At 37.0% G+C, this 15,554-nt stretch overlaps 1 protein-coding gene across 10 annotated transcripts in view, besides 6 other annotated features; it reads left to right on the top strand.

Moving 5' to 3' along the window:
- Positions 1-145: an enhancer, noted in NCBI's record as "145 bp 3:169526272 sequence used in MPRA reporter constructs". NCBI's record gives its function as "activates a minimal TATA-containing promoter with rs28626343 allelic activity by MPRAs in UACC903 melanoma cells {active_cell/tissue: UACC903}" and the evidence as "EXISTENCE:reporter gene assay evidence [ECO:0000049][PMID:36423637]".
- Positions 1-15,554, top strand: part of LRRC34 (leucine rich repeat containing 34) — a 19,902-nt gene extending 4,348 nt beyond the window's left edge. For 3 of the 10 annotated variants that reach the window (NM_001370608.1, XM_011512442.3, XM_047447492.1), the window contains exons 3-11: positions 848-969; positions 1,067-1,131; positions 1,626-1,709; positions 4,379-4,504; positions 7,803-7,898; positions 11,658-11,812; positions 12,188-12,343; positions 12,946-13,072; positions 14,719-15,554. In NM_001370608.1, the coding sequence (NP_001357537.1) occupies positions 848-969; positions 1,067-1,131; positions 1,626-1,709; positions 4,379-4,504; positions 7,803-7,898; positions 11,658-11,812; positions 12,188-12,343; positions 12,946-13,072; positions 14,719-14,922 (1,135 nt within the window). In that variant the 3' untranslated portion in view covers positions 14,923-15,554. Of the gene's footprint in view, positions 1-847; positions 970-1,066; positions 1,132-1,625; positions 1,710-4,375; positions 4,505-7,802; positions 7,899-11,657; positions 11,813-12,187 lie in introns of all 10 variants that reach the window. The other 7 variants (NM_001363888.2, NM_001172779.2, NM_001370609.1 and 4 more) reach the window with 5 other exon arrangements.
- Position 73: a transcriptional cis regulatory region, noted in NCBI's record as "rs28626343 or 3:169526272 MPRA-significant variant associated with a GWAS melanoma risk locus at 3q26.2". NCBI's record gives its function as "allelic transcriptional activity by MPRAs in UACC903 melanoma cells {active_cell/tissue: UACC903}" and the evidence as "EXISTENCE:reporter gene assay evidence [ECO:0000049][PMID:36423637]".
- Positions 2,257-2,401: an enhancer, noted in NCBI's record as "145 bp 3:169524016 sequence used in MPRA reporter constructs". NCBI's record gives its function as "activates a minimal TATA-containing promoter with rs11711621 allelic activity by MPRAs in C283T melanocytes {active_cell/tissue: C283T}" and the evidence as "EXISTENCE:reporter gene assay evidence [ECO:0000049][PMID:36423637]".
- Position 2,329: a transcriptional cis regulatory region, noted in NCBI's record as "rs11711621 or 3:169524016 MPRA-significant variant associated with a GWAS melanoma risk locus at 3q26.2". NCBI's record gives its function as "allelic transcriptional activity by MPRAs in C283T melanocytes {active_cell/tissue: C283T}" and the evidence as "EXISTENCE:reporter gene assay evidence [ECO:0000049][PMID:36423637]".
- Positions 14,128-14,272: an enhancer, noted in NCBI's record as "145 bp 3:169512145 sequence used in MPRA reporter constructs". NCBI's record gives its function as "activates a minimal TATA-containing promoter with rs7621631 allelic activity by MPRAs in C283T melanocytes {active_cell/tissue: C283T}" and the evidence as "EXISTENCE:reporter gene assay evidence [ECO:0000049][PMID:36423637]".
- Position 14,200: a transcriptional cis regulatory region, noted in NCBI's record as "rs7621631 or 3:169512145 MPRA-significant variant associated with a GWAS melanoma risk locus at 3q26.2". NCBI's record gives its function as "allelic transcriptional activity by MPRAs in C283T melanocytes {active_cell/tissue: C283T}" and the evidence as "EXISTENCE:reporter gene assay evidence [ECO:0000049][PMID:36423637]".

Genomic DNA, 15,554 nt, shown 5'->3' with positions numbered 1-15,554 from the left:
TTGAGTGATTTTATAGCCATTTGAAAATGCTTGGTAAAATGAACATACCATTTGATTCAGGTAAGTAAGTACACGAGCAACACTGTTAGTAGGTCTTAGAGGTGGTATAGTATTCAGGAAAGAGCACTAGACCAGGAGTACCCAAGCTTGGGCTCCAGAGTGATCTTTAACTTCTGTGGGTGGGGTGAATCTTTTTTTTTTGTTTGTGGGCAGGGTGAATCTTTTTTTTTTTTTTTTTTTTCTGAGATGGTGCCTCCCTCTGTCGCCCAGGCTAGAGTGCAGTGGCGTGATCTCGGCTCACTGCAAACTCAGCCTCCTGGGTTCAAGCAATTCTCCTGCCTTGGCCTCCCGAGCAGCTGGGATTACAGGTGCTCGCCACCATGCCCGGCTAATTTTTGTATTTTTTAGTAGAGACAGGGTTTCACCATGTTGGCCAGGCTGGTCTCGAACTTCTGACCTCAGGTGATCAGCCCGCCTTGGCCTCCCAAAGTGCTGGGATTACAGGCGTGAACCACCACGCCTAACCTGAGCTGGGTGAGTCTAAGCAAATCACTGAAGTTTTCAGTGTTATCTATAAAGTGGGGATACTGTTTGTGTGAGTGTGAGTGTGTGTGAGAGAGCTAAATATATGGAATCTTTTAAAGCACTTTGCAGTCTGCAGAATGTTCAGTAGTTTTAAGTTACCTGGTATAAATATACTGTATAAGTCTACTTATTATATGCTTGCTTCCAGTAAATGATATCTGTGATATGACTATTTATACATGAAGGAAACATACTTTTACTTCTTTACTGGGTTTCTATTTCAAAATCTTTTTTTTTTTTTTTTTTTTTTGTATTTTAACAGGCTAGCAGCAGGAATCACATTAAACATTGCTGGTAACAATCGCTTAGTGCCAGTAGAAAGAGTTACAGGTGAAGATTTTTGGATTCTTTCCAAAATTTTAAAGAATTGTCTGTATATTAATGGTATGTTTCCATAAGAATCAATACCTCCTGCTTTTCATTGATCTGATTTTAAGTATTCTTTATAATGAATATCCACTTCTATTCATCTGTGCTTCAGGTTTGGATGTTGGATATAACCTTCTATGTGATGTTGGTGCATACTATGCTGCGAAACTGCTTCAGGTATTATTTTACTACAAAATGTCCTTAGTTCCATTTACAATGAAACCAATTAGTCTAATGACACACACATAAAACACTAGTTTTACCTGATGTCAAGGGTCCTGACTCTGTGCTAGAACACTCGAAATATACTGGAAACCCATTGTGGATTTGGTCTCAATGGAGCCAGTAGCTAGAGCTCCTAAGTTATCTTTTGCAAACTTGTACACCATGATTAAATATATACACCACACATCTTTCAGATTGATCAAAGGTAAATATAGTTTTTTCTTTCATTTATATTGTAATTATATTTTGATTACATGAGAATGATTTTTTTCCTTAATGTAGTTGTTTTTGCTAGGATACAGTTTTTCTTGGTTATAAAGATTTTCTTTGGAGGAAAACACTTATTCAAATAAAGTATATACTGTATGTGTATATGTATATACATGTATGTAAAACTGACCAATTTCCAATAATAATAATGTGTAATAGCTTCTTTTCTCTTATAGAAACAACTTAATCTCATTTACTTAAACCTCATGTTTAATGATATTGGGCCCGAAGGTGGAGAATTGATTGCTAAAGTGCTACATGTAAGCATTTATGTATTTCAAACTAACATTGTATTTGGAAATTCTAACTTCTGATAGCTTGGAACCAACAGTGTCCAATGTTGAAGTGAACTTATTTTAATATTGTAGGAATGTATATTTTTATTATACTTTAATTTATTCAAGTGTAGACATTGCATGAACACTTTTGAAGTCATAGTTTTACTAAGATTTAACTCACATACATAAAATATACCCTTTGAAAGTCTTCAGTGGTTTTTTAAGTATTAATATATTCACAGGGCTGTGCAAGTATCACTACTATCACTATTTTAAAAACATTCTTATCACCCCAAAAAGAAAAGCCCTAAACTCATTAGCAATCCCTCTCCATCTTTTCTACCCCCTGCTCTCCAGCCCCTGGCAGTCACTAACCTACTTCGTCTCTCTATGTATTTGCCTATTGTGGACATTTCATATAAACAGAATCATACAATATGTGGCCTTTTGGGACTGGCTTAATGTTTTCAAGGTTCATCTTGAAAACCCAGTCACAAAGATTTATGTTTTTTTAAGAGTTTTACAGTTTTAGCTCTTTCTTTGATCCATTTTAATTTTTGAATATGGTATGAGGTAGGAATCCAACTTTATTCTTTTGCATGTGTATATCCACGTGTCCTAACACCATTTGTTAAAAGACTATTCTTTCTCCCATTGAACTGTCTTGACAGTTTTGTCCAAAAATCAGCTAACCATCATTACAGGAGTTTATTTCTGTACTCTCAATTCTATTCTTTTAATCTGTATGTCTATCCTTATGCCAGTACCACACTATCTTGATTACTATAGCTTTGTAGTAGGTTTTAAAATCAAGAAATGTGTCCTTGTTCTTTTTTCAGGATTGTGTTGGCTCTTCTGTGTCCCTTGCATTTCCATATGAATTTTAGGTCAGTTAATCAATTTCTGCAAGAAAAGCAGCTGGGAGTTTTTTTTTTTTTTTTTTTTGAGATGGAGTTTTGCTCTTGTTGCCCAGGCTGGAGTGCAATGGCGCGATTTTGGCTCACCACAACCTCCACCTCCTAGGTTCAAGCAATTCTCCTGCCTCAGCCTCCCAAGTAGCTGGGATTATAGGCATGCACCACCATGCCTGGCTAATTTTGTACTTTTAGTAGAGACAGGGTTTCTCCACGCTGGTCAGGCTAGTCTCAAACTCCCGACCTCAGATTATCTGCCCACCTCGGCCTCCCAAAGTGCTGGGATTACAGGCATGAGCCACTTCACCCGGCCAGCAGCTGGGATTTTAATAGGAATTACAGTAAATCTGTAGATCACCTTGGGGAGTATTGCCATCTTAAGTCTTCCAAACCTCGAACATAAGATGTTTCATTTATTTAAGGCCTTTCATTTCTTTCAGCAATGCTCTGTAGTTTTCAATGTGCAAATCTTACATTTCTTTTGTTAAATTTATTCCTAACTTTTTTTTATGCTATTGTAAGTGGAACTGTTGTTCTTAATTTCATTTTTAGGTTGTTCATTGTTAGCATATGGAAATACAGCTGTTTTTGTATATTGATCTTGTGTCCTGCTATGTTGCTGAACTCTTGTGTTAGTTCTAACAGGTTTTTTTGGTGGAATCCTTAGGATTTTCCCTATGCAAGATGGTGTCACATACAGAGTTTCACTTCATTTCCAATTTGTATGGTTTTTCTTTTTGTTTTTCTTGGCTAATTTCTCTGGCTAGAACCTCCAGTACAATGTTAAATAGAAGTGGTGAGAGGACATCCTTTTCTTCTTCCTGATCTCAGAGGGGTTTGAATCGTGATAATTATTTACACTATTATATGTCCTAATAGTTACTCATTAGAATGATGAAATGTCTGTGATTTTGTGAAATATTTATCAAATTATATTACTTTAAAAGTGATATAGGAGGAATGGGGAGTGACTGGTTAATGGTATAGGACCGGCTTCGGGGATGATGAAAATGTTTTGGAACTAGCTACAGGTGATGACTGTGCAATATTGTGAATGTACTAAATGCTACTGAATTGTATACTTTAAAATGGTCAGTTTTATGTTATGTGAATTTCACCTCAATTTAAAAAAGTGAAGTGCTATAATTTTCTTAAGATAAATTTACAGATTTTTCCAGTGAAAGTTTATTAATATATGTTTTATTTACTGGTTATTGCTTGGGCATCTGTTTCTTGGGCATTCTTTCTACTCAACTGTTAAACTAGATTTTTATCTATTATGGTAGATTGAATGTTACCTTTAAGGTATATATCCTCTTCTGGCTGGGCGCGGTGGCTCATGCCTGTAATCCCAGCACTTTGGGAGGCCGAGCTGGGCAGATCACGAGGTCAGATCGAGACCATCCTGGCTAACATGGTGAAACCCCATGTCTACCAAAAATACAGAAAAAAATTAGCCAGGCGTGGTGGTGGGTGCCTATAGTCCCAGCTACTTGGGAGGCTGAGGCAGGAGAATGCTGTGAACCCAGGAGGTGGAGTTTGCATTGAGTCGAGATCACACCACTGCACTCCAGCCTGGGCGACAGAGCGAGACTCTGTCTCAAAAAAAATATATATCGTGTTCTAGCTCCATGAAAATTGGAGTCTGCAAATAGTAATACAGTCTCCTAATTCATGTAATATATAGAATTCTGTGGATTAACAATTATTAAATAAGTTTTTTTTCCTTTTCAGAAGAATCGGACTCTGAAATACCTAAGAATGACTGGAAACAAAATTGAAAATAAAGGTGGAATGTTTTTTGCTGCAATGCTGCAAATTAATTCATCATTAGAGAAATTAGATCTGGGTGACTGTGATCTGGTGAGTAAACTGGTTATGAGAAAATCATCCAGATAGTGGGTCATTAGAGAACAGCTAAATCAGAGTCTTATGAATGATTAATTTTGCCTCTTATGTCTAATATCAGAGAAAAGGTGTTTTTCCCCTAGACATAATAGTGCAGATTATTAATAAAATCAGACTATAGTAAATAACATAGAAAAATACTTAATAAAAATATTCCTAAACTTCCATCTATATAACTCATCTTAAACTGTATGGAATTTTTAGAAAAAGATCATGTTCACTTTAATTAAACAAATATTACTTTATTCATATAATTTTTTACTTTTGAAAATACATTTTAGGCTGCAGTGGCTCACGCCTATAATCCCAGCACTTTGGGAGGCTGAGGCAGGTGGATCACCCGAGGTGAGGAGTCCAAGACCAGCCTGGCCAACATGGTGAAACCCCGTCTCTACTAAAAATACAAAAATTAGTCGGGGCCTGGTGGCGGAAGCCTGTAATCCCAGTTACTCAGGAGGCTGAGGCAGGAGAATTGCTTGAACCAGGAGGTGGAGGCTGCAGTGAGTTGCACTCCAGCCCCTGGGCGACAGAGTGAGACTCTGACTCAAAACAAAAATAAAATACTTTTTAGTAGTTACTTATATTGTAGCACAAAAACTTAAAATGATGATGCTAAAAGCTGCTCTGAAGCTGGGCGACATGACATGCACCTGTAGTCCCAGCTATTCAGGAGGCTGAGGTGGGAGAATCTCTTGAGCCCAGGAGTTTGAGGTTACAGTTCACTACAACCGTGCCTGTGAACATCCACTGTACTCCAGCATGGGCAACATGGTAAGACCCTGTCTCTAAAAATTATTAAAAAAGATAAAAGTCGCTTTGAACCTTCACCTGGCCTGATAATGAAAAATGTGTTTTTTTGCATGTCTTCAAATTCCAGGCTTCACTTTCTCTGACATGCTTTCAAATCTTTAGGCCTACTCTTGGGAACCTGTTGTATAGCCTCAGGTTAATCAATGTGACATGAAAATAAGATGGGCCAGGGGGCTCTCTGGTATAATAGATTCTGAAGGATTAACTTTTTTTTTTTTTGGAGACAGAGTCTCACTCTTGTCACCCAGGCTGGAGTGCAATGGCGTGATCTCGGCTCACTGCAACCTCCACCTCCCGGGTTCAAACAATTCTCCTGCCTCAGCCTCCTGAGTAGCTGGGATTACAGGTGCCTGCCACCACGCCCAGCTAATTTTTTTTTGTATTTTTAGTAGAGACGGGGTTTCATGATGTTGGCTAGGCTGGTCTCAAACTCCCGACCTCAGGTGATCCACCTGCCTCGGCCTCCCAAAGTGCTGGGATTACAGGAGTGAGCCACAGCGCCTGGCCAAGATTAACTTTTTAAGGTGGTAGATGCAGCCAGTGTGGTTCTGGGAAAACATTAATTCGGTACTTATCATCTCCACATACCAGTCATTGTGCTGGACACTAATGATACAACAGTGAATCACATGGCCTCTGCCTCTGCCCTTATGAAACTTATATTTTAGTTGGGGAAACACCAATGAAGAAGTAGAGGAAAGTGCTACAAAAATGACTGAGTACTCTGATAATGGGGAGAAGTAATTCTGCTACAGGAGGGTTGCCTAAGACTTATATTACTAAGGTAATATTTACGAGTTATGAAGGATGAGAAAAAACTCATGGAGAGTGTCCATGTCAGAACCTTCCAGGCAGAGCACCAGCATGCACAGACATTAAGATAGTGCTTCCCTAAGTGTGGCATGGGTAGCATTCTTGGTGCAGAGTGAGGTAATTTTCATACTCATATATTTATTTTTACAGATGCTTTCTGTTTGTTTCAAGGGATTATGGTTTTCCATTTACAGCAGTGATACAAAGTTTTATTTTAAAATAAATATAATTGAAAAAGTGAGTTGATTTAATGGGAAAGTATTAAGTAAATGGTGTAAAGTAAGTTTGGGCGTGGTGGCTCACGCCTGTAATCCCAGTACTTTGGGAGGCCAAGGCAGGCAGATTGCCTGAGCCCAGGAGTTTGAGACCAGCCTCAGCAACATGGGAAAATACCGTCTCTACAAAAAATACAAAATTTAGCCACGCATGGTGTTGCATGCCAGCTACTAGGGAGGCTGAGGTGGGAGGATTGCTTGAACCCAGCAGGTCAAGGCTGCAGTGAGCCGAGTGTGCCACTGCACTCCAGCCTGGGCGACAGAGTGAGACCCTATCTCAAAAAATAAATAAATAAAAACAAAAATAGTGTTAAATATTTTGCATACTGAGATATGGCAAAAATCACGAGGGAGGTACATGAATAATAAAATAGCAAGTGTCACAGGTTTTAAGAACTGAGAAGTCAGAATGGCTGAGCAGACAAAGTTAAGAGTGCCTTGAAGTAAAAGTAGAGAAGCTTATGGAGGCCAGATATGGCAAAGTTGTGTGGGTTGTGGGTCACAGGTAAGGGGAAGAAGTGGGGGTTGTATTATAAATGAAAATCATGGAAAAAGCAAATCATGGAAATCTGGAAAAGCTCTGAGGGGTAATGATCTGATTGGTGGTTTTAGATCACTGGTTTCTCTGTGCAGAAGTAAAGGGTGGCAAGAAGAAGCCATCTGACCACTTAGTAGTCCAGGTGAGAGGTGAGGAGGACTTGGGCTGGGGTGGTGGCCACAGAGATGGACAGGAACAGACTAATTTGAGACATCTTTTGGAGGCAGCAGAATCTGTAAGTCTTAGTGATCAACTGGATGGGAAGGTAAGAGGAATGGCAGAGTGAGAGGAAGCCCATGGTTTCCGGCATACCAGCTGGGTGTACATGGTGGTGTCCATCACGGATATGGGGAGACTAGGCCCTTCCAGTCAGATAGAGCAAGAGAGGCCTATGGGATCTGTGAAAAATGTGATTGGTAACCTTTTCCCACCGCACACACACTTAAAAGTACTAGTATGAATATAAAAGAGTGCTTGCACAATGATGTGTGTTGGATAAGTAGTATGAGCTCTAGCTGGGATCCACATAGAAGCTTGAGGGGTGAGGAAAAAAAACCTAGAGGGAAACACCCAGGAAATGGACACTGAAACATTAAGAAACTCCCCATGCCATGTTTTAGATAGATTTTAGGGCCAGGAGAGAAGAATACAGTAACAATTCATTTTTGAATTTGATCAACTTACAATTCAAAGTCCAAGGAATGCTTAAATTTTAAAAACAATTTTATCAGAATGCAGATAGCTGATCTTGAAATATTTATGTAGCGAGATTATTATATACTTTGTCTGTTTCCTTAATGAATTTACCTGTTTTTAGGGAATGCAAAGTGTGATAGCATTTGCTACAGTACTAACTCAAAACCAAGCAATTAAGGCAATAAACCTAAACCGACCTATACTGTACAGTGAACAGGTATGTATTCAAAGTGATGGTAGTTAATATAACAACATGAATAAAACTAAGGTACTACTACAAGTTTATGTCAAGGTACATGAATACACTGTATTTTTAGAGATGTACTTACTATATCTTGTAAACTACTATTTATAAAAATGTTTAAATGAAAATTATATCAATTCTTGGTAAGACGTTTATAACTAAATATGCTTTTAGATATTGCTTGTTTAAGCAGCAAACATGTCATCTTTTCTCTTGAAACTCAAGTTCTTAGTGAGTAAACCTGTGAGGGTCAAAGTAGTTAAGATGAAAGCATAAATAGTGAAGGTTTTAAAGGCCAGACTATAAGAGCCCAGTGTGAACTGTTTGTTACATTGATGTGGCTGAACCATTACACCTTTGAAATCATGAGTAATAAAAGCAAAATGTGTATGAAAAGCAGTAAGCTGCTTGCTGGAGACAGAAAGATGAGTAAAAATGTGGTTCCTACTTTCATGACTTCTTTCTCCTTCTGGGTGGCTTTCTTCTCCTATCACTTGTAAACAGCTAGAGAATAAGAACTCATGTTATTATTGGTATAAACAAAAACATATATCTAACTATTAGGAAAAGTAAATGGTCAAAGCACTTTATAAAGTTCAATGTTTAAAATTTAATGTTTGGCCGGGCACGGTGGCTCACGTCTGTAATCCCAGCACTTTGGGAGGCTGAGGCAGGCAGATCACCTGAGGTCAGGAGTTTGAGACCAGCCTGGCCAACATGGCAAAATCCAGTCTCTACTAAAAGTACAAAAATTAGCCAGGCATGGTGGCAGGTGCCTGTAATCCCAGCTACTTGGGAGGCTGAGGCAGGAGAATCGCTTGAACCCAGGAAGCAGAGGTTGCAGTGAGCCGAGATTGCACCACTGCACTCCAGCGTGGGCGACAGAGCGAGACTTCATCTTCATCTCAATCAATCAATCAATCAATCAATCAATCAATGTCAGTGTTTGAATTCTCAACTTTATTTTTCTTTTTTGAGATGAGGTCTCACTCTGTCACCCAGGCTGGAGTGCGGTGGCATGATATCGGCTCACGGCAGCCTCCACCTCCTGGCCTCAAGTGATCCTCCCACCTCAGCTTCCTGAGTGGCTGGGACCACAGGTATGCACCACCATGCCCACCTAAATTTTTTTGTATTTTTGGTAAAGACAGGGTTTTGTCATGTTGCCCAGGCTGGTCTTGAACTCCTGAGCTCAAGCTATCTGCCTGCCTTGGCCTCCCAAAGTGCTGGGATGACAGGCATCAGCTACCATGCCCAGCCAAACTCTGAACTTTTTAAATGATTAAAGCACTTTAGATAATTTAAAATTATCTACTTCATTGTTCCCCCTTAGTATGAATCACTGAGAATTAATGATATTTTTAAAGTAGTATTCTCATATTCAGAAGTGTATTTTACATTCTTTGCCTACATAGATCTCTCCCTTTGAGTTATCGCTGCACTTTTTGGTACCAGAATTTTTGTGGTTTTACATCACGTTGTTTCATGTACGTAAATCCAATCTGTTCAACAAGACACTCAGAATCTTCAAATAGATTCCTATTTTAAAAATACTTAAAAGACTAGCAAAATACAGCTCAAAGTAGGCATGCAGTGAATTGCTTCACTCATGATTCATTCACACCATGAATATTTGAATGCAACCTTAAACAAGACACAATGCTAGCGAGGTGCTAGAGGTATTAAAGTCAAATAAATTACATAGCACTTGTCTTCAGTGAGTTTTCCATCTAGGTGGAGGGAGCTTGACAAGTCTGGAGAGTGATATGCCCGGGGTGCCATGGGGACATAAGGAGGGTAATCAGAATCAAAGCAGGGGAGGTGAGTGTGGTAGGGAGGTTCTCAGATTGAGGACATGACAGGAGATTCGAGGGCTAAATACATTTCTGGATTTTATCTCTGTGGAAATATGTTTATATATAGGAGATCACATTATAAGCATGATCCCTTTTTAAAATATGTTGAGTGGTGTCATTCCTAAATCCACCTGAGGATGCTTATTATTAAAAGCCCAGGCCCCCTTGTTGCTCTCAGCTTGGTGCTTCTGGCAGCCAGCTAGGTGCTAGTCTGTTTTGTTCTTCTCCAGGACAGCCACTACCTTCTCTATCCCCAAGGGTACTATTCTGCTCTTAAATTGCTGTTCCCAAATACAAACCTGCAAATCTATTCCATGTACGGGTTTTACTGTTTTATTACCGTGGAGGAATGGGATAACAAAAAGCTGTTAAGATGTTGGACTTCACCTTTAATGCTCATTGGCATTATCCGGGGAGCTTGAAAAATACTGATGCCAGGTGCCACTCTAGACAAATCAAGTCACAAACTCAGTGAATGGGGCTAAAACCCTTTACTATTTCTGACAATAGTTCCTCCCTTAATTAGGATACTCCTGCTTTCAAGCGTTGTAGCCTAAAACTGCAATCAAGGCCCAAACACAAAAACGTACTGAGTTTGTCCTCTGTGCCTGGCACTAGGAAGAGCAATAGTGGAACCCCCTAAGTGGTTGGTTTGCATTTTTTTACGTTCCTAGACTACATAGCATCCCTTTAGCATGGTTGGCGTGCATTTTTAAAGATCCTAGTCTACATAGCATTCCTTTGGGTGTATCTTTTCAGTGTCAAAGCAATTTCAGCAAATACAGAATTACAGAATATTGAACAATAATAAATGCTTTGTAGGCTGCTTATGGAACACTTATTTTGTGCTAGGTACCTTTTATTAGTTAACTTATTTCTGTGAGGGAAGCATAATTTCAGCTACTTTACTAAAATGGAAACTGAGACTCAGCTAGATGAAAATATTTGCCCAAAGTCATATAGCCAGTAAAAGGTAGAGCTAGTATCTGACAGACTTGATTTTTATAAAGCTCATGTACTTTCTGCTATTGCTATGTGGTTTCATTTAAAGTTTTTTTCAAAGTACCTTTATATATAACAAGAACACATATAGTTATCTGTGTTCATCATCAGCATTTCCAGTGACTAAAAAACTTATTATGTTATACAGCAATCATGCAAGAGTACTTCTTGTCACAAAATACTTTGGGCCATTCATTTGAAAATATGCTTTGATTTTACTAAAAACTTAAAATGCCTGGTATTCAAATCTTCATTGATGCCATGTATCTTTTACCTAGAAGTAGCTAGATTGTGGAACTTAAAAAAAAGTCTTCTGATGATCAGAAAATAAGAATAAAACCTCTTAGGAATTTGAGATGAATATAAAGGGAAGGATCAGATATATCACAGGGTTAATGAGTGTATTCTTAATATAAAATAAAGATTGGGAAATGTCTTTGTATTTTGTCTGAAAACCATCAAGAGTAGAGATCAAGAGCAAAGTTCAGGAACATATGGAAGGTATAAGAAAGGTTTAGAGACTTGAAAGATGGATTACATGCTCAATACATGATGGGACCAATTTTTTTTTCCTTTCGAAATGACTGATTATTGTTTTTTTAAAAAACCAAATTAACCAGCCTCTTTTACATCACTTAGGTAGCAGGCACTTGTAAAATATAGTGACTATATTTTACCTTCTGAGAAGGTAAAAAATATCATTTGTGGCAAAGATAATTTTTTAAAGATAGACCAAACAAATGCAAATTGTGGACTAACAGTTTTAACCAATATAATCTTTTTAAAAAGCTAATTTAAATAACAGCATATGTCTGAAATAAACATGTACTACTTCAAAATTATATTTTAGAAATAAGATTTTATCCACTTTTAGGAAGAGTCTACAGTCCATGTAGGCCGCATGTTGAAAGAAAATCACTGTCTTGTTGCACTACACATGTGTAAGCATGATATAAAAAACAGTGGTATACAACAGTTATGTGATGCACTGTATCTGAACAGTAGCCTGCGCTACCTTGATGTCAGCTGGTAAGTGATAATTTACACATTAATAATTCAAAGTTAAATAATGGGAATAATCTATATAAATATTCATGGTACTTGGGATACGTTGTTAGACATTATTTCCAATGATTAGAAACTGCAACCAATTGTCAATCCTTTGTCCTAAGCTTTAATATTTAATACTGCTATCTTTTAGTAACATAAATGAGCAATTTAGTTGTGTAAACAAGAATGAAAGCAATATTTTATGGTGAATTTTCATTAACTTTCTTGGAAATCAAGTGGTTAAAATAAACCTTTACTAAAACAGAAAGTACTGTTTAAGTTTTCAAGCATCTTATCACTATGAATAAAAACACTATTTCATATTTTCAAATATAACTATTTTTCCTTTGCCAGCAACAAAATAACTCATGATGGAATGGTGTATTTGGCTGATGTACTGAAAAGCAACACTACCCTGGAAGTAATAGATCTTTCCTTTAACAGAATAGAAAATGCAGGCGCAAACTATCTCAGTGAAACTCTTACTTCACACAACAGGAGTCTTAAAGCGTTAGTATGGTTTTATATTTAATCAAAATAACAGAAAAGCAAATTTTTAAATACTAACCTCAATCCCCTTAACTCTTAAGATTATAATGAAATATGAAAACTCAGCTTCTAAACTGACATAGTATTAAGTTACAGTAAACATTTACATTTCTATTTTTCAAATGTAATGTCTTTTACAATTAGACTGATTCTATTAACGATTCCTTCAAATTAATGAGAAAATTTGCATTGCTTATATTACTTATCCTGAATTCTAATAGAAAACTCAGAAGCATTCAATATGATCAAGACTTTTAAAAGTAAGAATGAACTAAAGAATAAAATACTTGGATGCATTTATCCAGAAAAATATATCTGCTATCCACCCAAACATTTACTGAATAATATAAAACAGAAGACTTTCAAAATGTAGTTAGCTCTACTAAGTACCTTAAGGATCTAATTAGAAAACTAAGTTTCTTGGATTTTAGGAATTAAATGGTCAGTATTTTTACCACTACATTACAACATACTGAAGAATAATGCTAAGACTACACAAGAAAGTGTTTGTAATAAATGTTGCTAATTTTTGTATTCTTTCCTTGTGGAATTATTGGTTTCAGGTTGTCAGTAGTCAGCAACAACATAGAGGGAGAAGGACTTGTTGCACTTTCACAATCAATGAAAACAAATCTCACTTTCTCTCATATCTACATTTGGGGAAACAAATTTGATGAGGCTACGTGTATAGTAAGTTTTAAGTTTTTTCCTTCACTGAAGGCTTTTTCTGGGATCATCTCTGTAACATCAGATATTATTTACAGGTGCCTCAGAAATGGTTACACAGTGAGACACTGCAGTTTTGATAATTAACATAAGTCTTAAAATTAACTACTAGAGAGTTTGGTGGTTCAAATAACCAAAGATATTAAAACTATGTATTAGTATTACACATCACTGAATGACACAGTTCTAATTCCTCTAAGGTTAAGAAAAATCATAATTATTGATCAGATGTAGCAAAATTTCTGATCTGCTCCCTAATAATTATACCAAAATATGGAATGGGAGAGATAGAGTACAAGCTATCAAAATATTTGGCATGTTGCTCACATAAATACAGACAGCCTTTGATACTACTTTCAAAACAGAAATAATGGTAACAGTTTTCATTTGGAAAGAACGAGGGGGAAAAAGTAGATGTTAAAATTCTCAAAATTTGCAAAAGGACTAACAAAAATTCCACCACTAAAAAGAGTAATAAAACATAGAGTGTTGTCTAAACCACCCTCCCAAAAAAACCAACCCTTACTTTTAGAAAAACATCCATAATTCTTTAGGTTCTACACATCAGTAGCTGAATAAGTTGAGTCTGGAACTGGAACTAATGATGAATGACAAGCTAAAGCAAAAACCAACTTGACTTTTAAATCTTTTAATGTCTAAATTTCCATCTTTCTCCATATTGCCAACCTTACTGACAAACCAGTTCAACGTATTTGTATGACTCTGTTACATAGATACTAAGGATCGTGGCTCATGCCTGTAATCCCAGCACTTTGGGAGGCTAAGGCGGGGGGATCACGAGGTCAAGAGATTGAGACCATCCTGGCCAACATGGTGAAACCCCATCTCTACTAAAAGTACAAAAATTAGCTGGGTGTGGTGGTGCGCTGGGCCTGTAGTCCCAGCTATTCGGGAGGCTGAGGCAGGAGAATCTCTTGAACCCAGGAGGCAGGGGTTGCAGTGAGCCGAGATCGTGCCACTGCACTCCAGCTTGGCGACAGAGCAAGACTCTGTCTCAAAAAAAAAAAAAAAGTATAAAAATTCTACAATGAAGAAATAATTAATAGGTCCGCATCCAATACTATGGAATTGTCTGTTTTAGCCTAAATCTGTAGATTAGATTCAGGGGGGTCATGAACTCTATATAATTGTATGTCCAAATCTGGGATTCCCTTAATTTTTCTGAGGAATGGGTAACTAGCTATCAGCAGATTTTTGAGAATGTATACAATAGGCCTCCTACCGAGCCCCCCTACCTATTCCAATTTATGAACATCTGTGGGACTTGAAAATTTTGACCATAGGAGCTTTGGTCCACAAAATTGGTAGTATAGAAAATCAACTCTAGGAGTCACAAAATGACAAAACATGTCTAATACATTAAAAGTTAGAAATAAGTTTTGCAATATTATAATTTCATTCTGTGTAATTAAATGAATAAAAATCTATTTACAATACCTGGAAAATATTAAAATTCAGCAATGTTATTCAGAATATTTTATTTTAAACTACAAATTAGCACAGCTAATTTGAATATTTAAATTTCCGTAAGCACTGTAAATTGAATACATTTTTTCTTAATGATATAGTTTTTTTCCTAAAAATCCTAGGCATATTCAGACTTAATTCAAATGGGTTGTCTAAAACCAGACAATACAGATGTGGAGCCATTTGTGGTAGATGGACGTGTATATCTTGCAGAAGTCTCCAATGGCCTTAAAAAGCATTATTATTGGACATCAACTTATGGAGAATCTTATGACCACTCATCTAATGCAGGTTTTGCTCTTGTTCCAGTAGGTCAACAGCCATGAAAAAGTAGCTGTAAAATAATTTTCATACACTTGTCTTATTGTTTCACAGAGATTAATATTCTATAGCCTATTTTCTTTTATAAATTAAAACAAGTTACTTTTTTCAAATGTGTAAAAGATAATGACTGTATTAAACTTTGTATAACTGTCTATTGTGAAAAACTGAGTAGGGTAATTTTTTAAAAGAAATTTTACAATATAGAGACTAAAATTCTAACCCTGGAGAAAGAGACCAAGGAACTAGACTAAATTTCTTTTTATAATGAAAATATAACCAAGTAGTGAAATAGCGTACAAGTAAAGGTCATTGTAGGTATCTAACTGAAAGTTATTAAGTAGTATTAATAAAAAGGTTTGTGGTAGAAAATTACCAGTGACTTTCAAAGGGTTTCAAAGTTCAGAAGTTGAAAAAGTATTCTACCTATCCTATTTACGTGTTACAGACAGGTGTTACTAACAATTTCATAAATACAGGCAAATATATATAAACATATACATACCCCTTTCCCAACAAGCCAGTGCTGCCAGCTCTCCCACTCTCCTCTCATAACCACTATCCTGACTTCTAACCCCACAGAGTAGTTTTGCCTGTTCTTGACCTTTATATAAATGGAAGCATACAGTATACACTC

Source organism: Homo sapiens, chromosome 3, assembly GCF_000001405.40.
Source record: "Homo sapiens chromosome 3, GRCh38.p14 Primary Assembly".
NCBI classification, from domain to species: Eukaryota; Metazoa; Chordata; class Mammalia; order Primates; family Hominidae; genus Homo; species Homo sapiens.
The sequence above is the reverse complement of the archived record's forward strand: the minus strand, read 5'-3'. Positions and strand labels throughout refer to the sequence as shown.